Source organism: Homo sapiens, chromosome 11 (assembly GCF_000001405.40).
Source record: "Homo sapiens chromosome 11, GRCh38.p14 Primary Assembly".
NCBI lineage: Eukaryota > Metazoa > Chordata > Mammalia > Primates > Hominidae > Homo > Homo sapiens.
Window position 1 is genome coordinate 72,589,889 of NC_000011.10, and position 12,295 is coordinate 72,602,183.

The 12,295-nt window shown below is 56.4% G+C and overlaps 1 protein-coding gene across 5 annotated transcripts in view; it reads right to left on the reverse strand.

Annotated features, from left to right (window-relative positions):
- The window catches only part of PDE2A (phosphodiesterase 2A), a 98,282-nt gene that overhangs the window by 13,748 nt on the left and 72,239 nt on the right, over positions 1-12,295 (reverse strand). For all 5 annotated transcript variants that reach the window (NM_002599.5, NM_001146209.3, NM_001143839.4 and 2 more), the window contains 6 exons: positions 7,622-7,731; positions 6,705-6,760; positions 1,409-1,468; positions 539-692; positions 304-356; positions 19-93 (listed from right to left, as the gene is read on the reverse strand). In NM_002599.5, the coding sequence (NP_002590.1) occupies positions 19-93; positions 304-356; positions 539-692; positions 1,409-1,468; positions 6,705-6,760; positions 7,622-7,731 (508 nt within the window). The remainder of the gene's footprint in view (positions 1-18; positions 94-303; positions 357-538; positions 693-1,408; positions 1,469-6,704; positions 6,761-7,621; positions 7,732-12,295) is intronic.

A 12,295-nucleotide genomic window follows, 5' to 3' on the forward strand; every position in this document is an offset into this window, starting at 1 on the left:
GTGGACCTGGGCCCTCACCTTGCAAGAAAGCTGGAGATTGTCCTCCGACACCAGCAGGAGGCAGCAGCGGGATGCCCGGGTCTCCTGCTGCAGCTGAGAGAGGGACAGGCAGGGCGAGGGGGTGACCGCGGATCCGGGTCACCCCACTCCCCACCTGCTCCCCTCTCCGGGGCTCTTCAGGCGGGTGGAGGAGAGAGGAAGGAAGGACATCGTAATTGGAACTGAGATGGAGGGCTCAAGGGGAAGTTGGTCCCCGGAGGGAGACAGGACGGGGAGGTGGCCGGCAGGGGCGCAGGGACTCACGTATTGGAGCACTTTGAGCTGCAGGGAAGAGGCATCCAGGTCGTAGAGTTCCCCTGCAAGGGCCAGGCGCCGGTCAGAGAGAGGGCCCCTCCGCACCTCCGTGTCCGGGTCCCTCAGGCGCCGCTCAGCTCCGCGCCGGGCCCGCCGCCGGCTCCCGGGATCGCCTAACCCGCCCACCTCCCCTCCAAGTTCTGCCCGGCCCCGCCCTCGTGACCTGTCCAGGCCGGGCCCTCACCGCACAGTTGGAGGATCTTGCGGTCGCGGTCGGTGTACGCCGCCCCGCCCTTCTGGTCTTCCGCCGTCCCCTCCGGGGGGTTCTGGACGGCTCGGGGAGCCTCCCTGGGCCCGCGCTGCTGCAGGACCTGCACCCTCCGCAGGGCGACCAGGGTCTGGGGCAGGCCGAGCGGTTAGCGCGCCGCTCGCCCCAAGCTCGCTGCGCTTGCTGCAGCGGGATTCCTGCCTTTGCTCCCGCCGTTCCCTCTGCCTGCCGGGCCCAGGGACCCCGCCGCCGTCCCAAACACCTCATCCCTGGACTCTACCTTCCTGAGGGCTCCCCCGGGGGCTCCCACAGCCCCTGGAGCGTCCGGCGGTCCAGGAACAGGAGGGTACAGGGTCTATCTCCATCCCTAGCCCCTAGATTCTTCCAAGACAAGATGTCAGATTTCTGTCTCCAGCCCCCTCAGGAAGTCGTAAGTCCTTGTTAAAGTCACAAAATCATAAAGTCTCAGGCATGAAAGAGCCTCAGTATCATTATGTGGAGGGTTCTTTCTAAGTACAGATGCTCCTGGACTTAGGATAGGGTTGCTTCCCCATAAATCCATCAAAAAGTCGAAAATTGTAAGTTGGCAACCGTGTGTATTTACAAGATATTTGACCAGTTTTGTTTCACCACTGCCCTAGGTCAGTCGGTGCTATCATTATCCCCATTTTCAGGTGTGAAACTGAGGCCCAGAGACGTTTAGTGACTTGCTCAAGGTCACACAGCTCAAAAGCAGCAAAGCCGAAGCTGAAACCCAGGTCTGTCCAGCTCCCTGGCCAGGCCATCTTCCCACCAGCTGTGATAAGGGTCTTCAGCCTCATTGCACATGGCCCCACTCCCACTCACATGCTTCTCCACCGCCTGCAGGCTCCATTCCTCATTATCACTCAGCTGGCCACAGTGCACCTGGAGGGATGGGAGAAGGGAACTAGCTGTGACCTCTCTCAGTGTCTGTCTCTGCCAGAGTGCCCTCCCCATGCGCAGCACACACTGGTCCCCACCAACACATACACACTCCAGTCTGTGGGCCTCAGTGATAACCCCATCTTTCTGACCACTCAGACAGCTCCAGGAAAATCCCTCCTGTAGGAAGTCTCCTAGGACTAACCTAAGGACGTGAAACTTTTTTGTCTCTGCCTTTTCAATCACTGTCTCATCAAGAGCACAGTCCGGGTGTATGGTTCAGGGGATGGAGGGACCTTAGACCCCTTTTTAGCTCACAGATTATGGAGCGCTGCAGGTCCTGATTTTAGAATTGGTGGTATTAGCCTCAGCCTCCCGGCTCTATCCTGTCTGAGTTAGGGTTTGAGCTGCCCCTAAGTCTTGGATAAAGGAATGGGCTCAGTATGATGCACCTGCCATGGTGAGGATGGACGGGTGAATGAATAAATGGATAAATGGGTTCGTGAAGTGCTTTGCCTTACATGTGATTCTCACCACTGTGATGCAAGCCTCCACCTGGCAGGCAAGCCATGGCCAGAAAAGTGGAGTGACTTGCCCAAAATCACATAGCAGAAAGTGGCAGAGTGAAGACAGCACCACCCACTCCCTCCCGTTCTCTGCCCACACCTTCCCCCCTCTAGATCCACTCTCTCCACCACCCCCATCATCCTGTCCCTCTCCAAGCTCCCTGTGCCAGTCACCAGGGAACTCAGCCCATCTTTCATACTCTGTGAAGTCCCTTCCCCCACTCCTACTTGGGTGCTTGTCGAGGAAAATGAGAGACGGTGGGGAGGGAGGGTGGCAGCCTAGGGACCCACTACAGGCCCTGCCAGCAAGGCTCCCCACCTGCGTCACTAGCTTCCGGAGCTTACTCAAAGCTGCTCACCACCTGCAGAGCTCCCCACAGCGCCTGCACTGGGGGCTCCTCCTTCCTCCTCCCTCCCCAGTCAGCAGCCAATGCCTGCCTCAGCTCTGGGTCTCCTGCCAGGAGCAGATGGGGAGGAGGAGACCAGCAGGTTCTCGGGAAGCTCACAGTCTGTCTGGGGTGGGACGAGTGGGGAGACATGACTGGGAGGAGGTGTGGAGCCTCATACCTGAGGAAGGAGAGAGAAAACTAGGTGGGTAGCTCAGAGGGGAGGACATTTGGAAGGCTTCCTGAATTGGCATGGGGAGGACAAGTAGACCTTGAAGAGACCAGGACACTGGCGGTAGGTGGTGCGGGGAGATGAGGATCCAGGTAGGGGTGTGGTCCATGGTACCACAGAAGGAAGGGCCTTGAGTGCCAGGCTAAGAAGTTAGACTTTAGCCTGAGAGTACTGGGGAGCCATGGCAGACTTTAGCATCTGAGGGCCACTGTCTGTGGGGTGTAGGGTGAATTTGAGGGAGGGAGATTGGAGGCAGGAAGACCTGGAAGAGACCTGGGCTGTCAAGGATGGTGTTTAAACTTAAGCTCTGGATGAGGCTCAATCTGTGACTCCTACAGGACAGCGGGGGCGGGAGGGAGGAGAAGCTGGGGCTATGGTTCATTTGCATATGGCTTATATAAATATGTTGGCATTTTACTGTTAGCACATGGAGGAGGACGTGGTTCTTGTTCCTTCCACCTGGTCCCATCTCTCAAGAATAGAGAAGGCTGGGACCCCTCTAAGGCTGTGGGGGCAACCAGTTCTCGGGCTGCCTTGGCCTACTTGCACCCAGCATGTGCACAAACACACACACCTACACTCTCATGAAGAACGTCAGGCCCTCACACACATGCACTTACACTCAATCTCCCATGGAGGTGGTACACACACACACACACACACGGTGCAGTCACAGACACAAAGACATCCACACACCCACCCTTACAGTGTCCACAGCATCCCCACAGGCACATTCATGCCTGTACACAGGAAATAGTTCACTTACCCAAAAGCCATGCACATGCACCTGGCGCCCCCATACACAAACACACACAATCACCCCCACACACTCATGGCTTTTTGTTCGCCAACAGGAACACACACTTACACCTGCTCTTGCTAATCAGGGCAAGTGTCTGGGACCCAGTGGGAACACTCAACATTGGGCACTGTGGCTGTAAGAGAGGGTTAAAACCCAGCACAGCCCCCAGGTCCCCACCCTAACCAAGTTCAAAATGGTTAATGGCATGAACACCCCATCCCCGTGCAGGGAGCTGGTGTGGCTGGTGCAGCTGGGGGAAGAGTGGGCACAAATCAGGCATCAAATGCCAGAGACCAAGGGCTGCCACTCCTCAAAGGGACTTATTATCCCAGGATTAAGGAACAGAGCCAAAGACTTTCCACACAAAAAATTTGCAATCAAGGTGCTTTGAGCAGTGAGCTGTAAAGGCCCAGAAGTCAGCCACACAGCCCTGCACCTGGCCAGCATATTCCTCAGAGAGCCCTCGCTGATGGCGTCGCCACTGGACCCCAGCATTCCTTTGCAGGACTCCCTCGAGGGGTTTCCTTGCTAGCACTTGCCATCACGTGTGATCCTATCCTTATTTTGCTCACTTGTTTTGCAGTATTTTTGTTATTTTTATTGTCTTTAGAGATGGAGTCGCACTCTATTCTCCAGGCCAGATTCAAACTCCTGAGCTCAAGGAATACTCCCAAGTAGCTGGGGTTATGCTCACTTTAGTGCTTCTCACCACCAACCCTCCAGACCATATGGTCTGTGAAGGCAGGGCCTGTCTAATCTGTCTTGGTCACTTCTGTGTTCCCAGCACCTAGCACTCCATGCCTGACATACAGTGGGTACTCAAGAAATAGTTGTTCAACTGATGGATGAGGGGGTGGATGGGTAGGTGGATCAGTGGATGAATACTAAGAGCAGAGACTGAGAGAGGGGAATGGGGCTTGTCCAGGAAGGAGCTGGTGACTCGGCCTTCCCAAAAGATCAACCGACCCTGTGGCTCTCCATCTTCCTTCTGCACCCTCTGCCCTCAGGATCTGGCAGCAGCTGGGAAGTCTGGGGCTGCCTGTGCTACCTCTGGGAGGCAGTGAGATCCTGTGAGCCAGGGTGCATCTGTCAGACATGTATGCCTTGGGGAGGGGGCATCCTAGGGAAGTGCATTTACACATGAGTGGGAAGGTGCAGGCTTAGAGGAGAGGCAGATGTGAATAATCTAAACACCTTTCAAGAGTTCTTCCCTGCCCAGGGTATTTGAGGAGGTGAAGGGACGGTTGTTGAAAACTCCTGGCAGCCAGAGCCCAGCTGGCTAGCATCCTGCTCAACAGCATGCACCCCTACTTCAGCTTCCCCAGGACCACACTCTCCCCTCAGCACACCACCCCTTCCCCCGGCCTCCTTCCTGCCTTGCTCACATTCCTCCTCTGCCTAGAATCCCCTTTCCCTTCTTCCCTGCCTGTGGACCTCCTACCTGTGCCCCAAGGCCCCACACAAATGCTTTCTCTGTGATGAGGTACCACTTGCTGCTCCAGGCTTTGCCACCAGAACACCTGCTGGCAACAGTATTTCATCTGGCCTGTGGTGGGGAGGGTGTCCCTGCCTTCCCCCAGACTGAGAGCTCCCTGAAGGCAGAGTCGGCTCCAGCACCCAGCCTGCCGCAGGACCAGACCAGAGTTCTACTGGGTGAGTTAAGTGTAAGTGATCTGATCCCACCAGCGTCCCTGAGACACACACACACACACACACACACACACACACATTGGCCTCTGGCCCAGCCTGAGCCAAGGTGAGCAGCGGCCATGGCAAGCATTCCGCCCACAAGGGAAGCAACCTTCCAAATGTCTTCCCCTTACTTCCCTCCTGACCCAGTCCTCATAGCCTCAATCTAAGGAAGTCCTTCTCAGGCACCTGGCACCCCAGGCCCTTTGCCCTCAGCAGAGAAGGAGGTGCGTGACCCAGCCACCACCTCCCAATCCCCACCTCTGCACACAGCCCCTCACCTCAGTGCCCCTCAAAGCTGACCAGCCCTGGGGCAGACCAAGAGCAAAGAATAGGGGGAGGCGACCCCCTGAGAACTCCGTGCAACAGCAGCTCCGTTCCAGAAACCGGGGGTGGGGGGAGCAGCTTGCGGAGAAACCAAGCAGCGGCCTTGGCTCCCTCAGTCAGGAAGATGGGTGCAGAGGAGACCCAGCCAAGTACCCCTCCTCCCCTCCCCCCTCTCCTCCCCTCTCAGCCATCCCTGACTCCCACTGCCCTCTCCTGCCAGCAGCTCAGAAAGGTCAGGCGCCTGGGAAGCGTTTAATTCCATTTTAATGAGCTGGAGAGGAGTCCCCGGGGAACCAACACCTGCTCATTTATCTGTCCATGCCCCCAAGCCTGCCCTTTACTGGAATGGCAGCCCCCTCGACAGAAGCAGACCCCCAATAATAGCAATTTGGGGAACTCATCCTTTGGTTACTAGGATAGAACGAGTTTGAACCCCCACCTCCATACAGGAGAAGAAACGGAAAGAGCGGCAGAATCCCGTCCCCACAGGCTCTGCACTTCCACAATCCCCTCCACGGAGCAGAAACCCTGGGAACTCCTCGAGGGGCTGCAGAGGGAGGCTTGTCTGGGTTCTGGGGCTCTGGCAGAGCATCCACCACTTCCCACTAACACTCCTTCCTCAGCCACTCCAGAAAGCCCCCCTAGCTGCCTGTCTTCCGCCCAGCCTCAGCCCTGGGTCTGGCTGGCCTGACCATGGCCTTTCTCTCCTCAAGGCCCCCAGCTCCAGCCACTCCAAATCTCTGGCTAGTTTTCCACACTATCTCTATTGGTCAGGCCCTTATGTCCATCTGTCCCTCCGCAGCATCTCTCTTCACACCTCACTTGGTTCATGCCCTCCTGGACATTATCCCCACCCCATCTGGAGGATCCCAAAGAGAAACCAAGGTTAGTGCTGCGTACGCCAAAGGCTGGGCCTTCTAACCTTATGGGGGCTGAGAGTCCAGCAGGGGCTTGCACACCCCTCAGAAAGCTGCTGACTGGGCCAATGGCTTCATCCTACCTATTCGAGGTGGGGCAGAAGGCTGGGGTGTGGGAGATGCCCCAACTCCTCCCACCCCCACACCCCCATTTCCCCTCACTCCATCCTCGCTTATGGCTCCCATCTCTCTCTCTCTCTCTCTCTCTCTCTCACACACACACACACACACACACACACACACACCCTGGACAGGCTCCATCCACCACTCCCTCCCATGGTCTCCTCTCCCTACATCCCACCGCCTAGGCAGGCTCTTACCAAGATGACAGCTGCCACGGCCCCAGCCTCCTTGTCCGCTAGCGGCATGACCAGCACTGAGGGGGAGAGGGCAATGAGGTGCTCCTGCAGGGCTGGCGAGGCTCAGAGATACCGAGCCGGGACCCAGGTGGGGGAGACAAAGATGCAGACAAAGAGAGGCCAGGACAGAGACACACAGAGACCCCAAAACCCACAGAAACACAGAGGCGGGTCCTGAGGCAGCAACAAAAACAACCACAGCAACAGCCTCTGCATGGAAGGAAACCCCTTCACTCACAACCTTCTTGTGATCCTCCCAGGGTTGCAGGGAGGAAGGCAGGTGAGGCTGAGCACCTCTATTTTACAGATTGGGAAACTGAGGTCTAGAAAGGGGAAGTGACTTGCCCAAGATCACACAGCAAGTCAGGTCTCCTGACTCCCAGTCTTGTGCACTTTCCACATCGAGACAGAGGACAGAGACCTAGAGAGACTGAGACACGAGGCAGAGAGGGACATGGCGGACAGGAGGCATGGAGGAGAAGAAAAAGAGAAATAGGGCCAATGACAGTGACAGAGAGAATGTGAGAACAACTACAGCCCCATCCAGCATCAGGCACAGGCACATCACAACCACAGCCACGGGCCACTGAGCCCTCGCTTGTGCCAGGCCCCTAACATGCATGATCTCACTTGCACCTCCTTGAAACACCCCCTCAAGGTAAATACTATTGTCCCATTTTATAGTCAGGAAGTTGAGGCTCAGAGAATTTAGTAGTACAATAGAGAGAGAATTAGATGGAGGGACTGCTAGAGACACAGAGCAAGAGAAAGAAGGAGACAGAGATGAAGAGGAATAGAAGACACACATGACCTGGAGTGCAGGGGCCACAGTCCCTCCCTGCCCCTGCCCCTGCCCCTGCCCAGCCCCTAGCCCTTACCTTGGGTATCAGGAGCCAGTGGAGCCACCAGCCTGGCCAAGGGCTTCCCTGGCAGGTCTGAGAAGCCCAGCCCATTGCAGCCCAGCCGCTTCTGGGAGATGATAGCCTCCCTGAAAAGAGGACATGATGCCACCTTGAGAGCCCCCGACTCAGGGAGGAACGAGGCCTGGCCTGGGAACACAGGACAGTTTGGACCCTGCACATGTGCAAGGATCTGGGCAAGCTGACCTGCCTCAGGTTGGACACGATGACAGCACAAGTAAAAAAGTAGGGGACCCTGGACCCTATGTGGAGAAACAGGCAGCCACAGTTTGGCCTCTGGTGCCCCTTGCTGGTAAAGGCTCGGGTGGGGCCCAGTGCAGATCTTCCAGGCAGTGGGAGAGCAGAGGAAGTGAATGCAGGGGCTCAAAGCTAGGCTGCCTGCTACAATCTGACCTTAGGCACATGACCTGACCTCTCTGATCTTCCCAAGGAGAACTAGGGTGGAGAGAGAAGAACCCTCCCTGTCACCATCCTCAGAAAACAATTGTTGATCAGCTTTTAGTGCTAAGCACAGGAGGTAATCATCATAACTAAAGTTTATTGGCCATTTCCTATGTCCCGTGCACAGCCCAAGCAACTCACATAGATGAACTCAGAATTCCCAGCAATTCTATGAATTAGATATCTTCATTTTCAGATGGAGAAGCTATGGCACCAAGAGGCTAATTCACTTGCCCAGGGTTACACAGTGAATAAGCGGTAGAGCCAGGATTTGAACCCAGGTAGGTGGCACCAGGGCTAGGTCTAACCACTATGCTGGAACCTTCCCAAATACCTGTGGAGGTGTGAGCTTTGAACAGGGGGCAGGTGTGAGTGGCAGGGTATGACAGTGGCAGAGGGGTGGTGGGAACCAAGGCAGGGGAGGTTGGTATGGGAAGAATGAGTTTCTCTCTGTCCCACCACACAACCCACCTCCTCTACCCCCCAGCCTCTGGCTCATCCCGCTTAATTAAGCACCTGAGTTTGCACCAAATGTCACTCCTTGATGATTAATTGTCCTGGGTTCTTCATCCCTCATGCTGCCTCCACTTAATTGTGCTTGTAGGAACTGCCTGGCCTGGACAGAAGAGAAACTTGGGGAACTGTGTGCATACAGGGTCACTAAGGGAAGCCCAGCAAAGGTCACATGAGGAAAAGGAGGGGGTGGCCTGCAAGTCACGAGATCACTAGGTCAGAGACTCTAGACAAATCGAGGACCAAAGAGGTTGAGCATCTCGTTCAAGCTCACGCAGCATTCTGAACCAAACCCATTCCTTCCTGGCCACTTTAAGTAATCCAGGATCTACAGGAACCGGTGGTGTCTCCCACCTTCCAGCCCCTACACCCAGGACCTTTAAGGTTCCTGAAGTGCTGGGCTCCAGTTCCCGGCTGTCCACATTGCCAGTCACCCCGGGAAGGAGAGGGACGTAGGGTGGCAGGAGGGCAACGGGAGCCACGTTTCCTGATGATTAAACTGATGAAGGCTGAGGCTTCACGGAGGCAGGGGGTGACCCCTGGCCAAACCCTGCCCAGCTCCTTGGCCTCAGACAATCTGGTTAACCGGAGGCCACAAGGTGGCACTGGTCCTTGCGTTGCTGGTCAGTGCGCACTGCAGCCTCATCCTGCCGACTCCCAACTATTTCCCCTCCCACCCCTGGACTGGAGCTGCTTGGCCTCTCTTTCCCAGGACCCTGATGAAGGAATCTGTCCTCAGCCTTTCTTCTCTTTTGCACAAAACCCCTCCTCTGTGCTCACGGCCTCATGACTCTCCAGCCCTCACTCATGAGCTCCAGACCCCAGATACCCAAAGGCCACCTGGAGCCTCCCCACCACGTCCCTGAGGTGGCCCAGGGACCCCCATACCATCTGAATTATTATCTCCACTCCCTCCACCTCACAACAAAGCAGCACAACCATCCACCAGGTCCTTCACGGCTTGTCCAAAAACCTGCCTTCTTTCCTCACCTCCCCCATCCGATCAGTGAGTCACCTCCCAGTTGTCTCTCACAACTGTCCTCTGCTCTCTATGCCCAAGCCACTGCCCAGCTCACATGGAGACACCTTTTCCCTGAACCCTGAAGCAGCCTCTCCCCAAGCCTCTAGCCTCCTAGCTGGGTCTCTTCAATCCATTCTCCATGGCAGAGCAAGAATAAGTGTTCTAGATGAAAAACCTCGGGGAGCATTCTACTTAAAGTCTCTCATTTCACTGGGTCCTTCTGGGTCAGGTTCAGTGCTGAGGGCTGAGATGAGCAGAGGGGTCAGACATATGCCTCACTTGAGGAGGCCAAGAACACGCAGAGATCAACGTACAGACCCACGCTTCAGTCGGGAGATGAGAGCTCTGCCAAAGGCAGGAAGAGCAGGCCCCAGCCCACTCAGGTGCAGGGTGTGATGGAGTCAGAGAAGGCTTCCTGTAGAGGGAGACATCTGAGTTGAGTCCTAAAGGACAGGCAGAGGTTATCGAGGCAGACAGGAAAGGATGTCCAGGGAATTGCAATTGTGAAGGCTTGGAGGCGAGAAGATTGTGTGCCTGCTGAAAGGTATGGCCACAAGGAGGTTGGTGTGACTGGACAGCCGAGAGCAAGGCTAGACAGGGGCCAGGGCCCTATGGAGCTGGGCTTGAGCCTGAGGGCAGGGGGTGCCCTGGGAGGGATTTGAGCAGGGACGGTAATGGTCAGGTATGATTTCAGAACGATCATGCTGCCTGGGTAAAACTCTCCACATAAGGAGACTGTGACACTGGAAACCTGGTCTCAGTGAGGGTCCTATCATCTTAGTGGCCCTGGACAAGACAGAGGCTGAGCTGGGATAGACCAATCTTGATAAGCCGAGATGCCCCCAAGCACTGGGGCTTCCAAGGACCCTCAATTCTTAGGCAGCCTCGGCACCTTGCTCTGCAGCCTGCCCTCCCCCGGCTTTGCGGGACCCCATAGCCCACACTCACCTCAACCTACCCCCATGGGAGCCCCTTTCCTCTGCCATAGCCCTCCCAGAACTGCTGTCCTCCTGAAGTCTCCAAAGATGCCCACAGACTGCGAGGGGGAATGTGCCAAGGCTGAGTCTCCCCCACCCACATGGGAGCGGGAGCTTCGTCCACTGCTCAGACCCCCGATAGCTCCTTGCTCAACTCAGAGCCGCTCCCTGCTCCTCTCCAGTTCCTCCCTTACTACTACCCCACCCCCACCCTGCCTTCCAGGCTCATGCTGGGGGTTGTGGGGAACTCCACAACCCAGGGCCAGCTGCCCAGGCGAAGGCTAATGACAGCACTGGGTGCCTGGGTGGTCATGGCCTGCCCCACTGAAGATAAGGACAGATGGGCACAGAGTGGAGAGAGGAACAGGCGTGGACTTTATGGCAGTTCCGTCCCTTTAACAACTATTTGTTTAATGGAAAAAGAATCGAGGGAAAGGTTCTCTGCTGGTAGGGCCAACAGCCTGGAAAGAGCTGGGTCCCCTGCACTTCTCTGAGCCCCTGTGTGTGTCCTTCTCGCGTTCTCTACTTTGGAGAAGCCCCCCTCCAACACCCACTAGGTCCCAGGCATCAGTAAGCAGCCAAGCCTGTTGCTGAGCCCATCCTCCCACGGAACCCCATCCCCCCAGGGAACCCCCACCCTCACTGAGCCCCCCGACTCTCACTAAGTCTCCATCCCCTCACTTAAGTCCCTACCCCCTCACAGAGCCCCTCACTCTCACTGTGCCCCAATCCCCTCACTGGGCCACCCCACTCTCACTGAGCCCTCATATCCTCACTGGGCCCCCATCACCTCACTGAGGCTGCCCACTGTCACTGGGCCCCCATCCCCTCACTAAGCCCCCCACTCTCACTGAGCCCCCAGGACCTGGACCCTCTTCTTGCCCTCCTTCCCCCAGCATGTGAGGATCCCGAGATGGGAGCAGACCGTTCCCGGTGTCCTCTGAGACAACCCCTAGGGATGGTCAGATTCTGCAATGAAAGAAGACCTGGTCAGCTTAGGGGAAGAAATTTCTTAGGGATGGGCCCTGGGGACCCCAAAATGGTAGCAGAGGGAGACAGCCAGCCTGGGCCGAGGTGGGCGGTGGGTGCTTCAGTTGCAGCTGAAAGGCCTGAGATTTTTGCTGCACTCAGCATCAGGTAATCAGAGGCTTTAAGATAGCAGGAGACACAAGAAGAGGAAGGCGGCAGAGCTGGGGCCTGAAACAGTCTGGGAGATGGAGGTGGGGCACCAACAAGAGGGAAGTGAAGCCTCCTTTCAGGAAGACCCTGGCCCAGGCAGCCTTCCAGGATTCTCTCCTCTCCAGCCCCAAGGTCGTTTGCAGCCCTTACAATTCAGAGCCTCACCAGCCCTCAATATCAGAATGTTCAGCGTATCATTTTACAGAAGGGCATATGGAGGCCCAGGAAGAGGGCATCGGATTGTGATTGCAGCCATGTTGTCCTGGATCCCAGGTCTCTGACTCCCAGCCCAAGGTTCTTCCTGTGGAAGAACCCTAAGGGAGGCCAATATGGCCCAGACCCCTTTTCTGAAACTTGGTTCCTTCTCAGTGTCAGGGAACTGTGGAGCAGGCTTCCCCAAGACAGCTTCTGGTCAGGCCATGAAAGATAATTACAATGGGATTGGCTGAGATGAAAGTGGAGCAGGGACGGTCTTTGCAAGGGAGCAAGCAGCCCTTACAA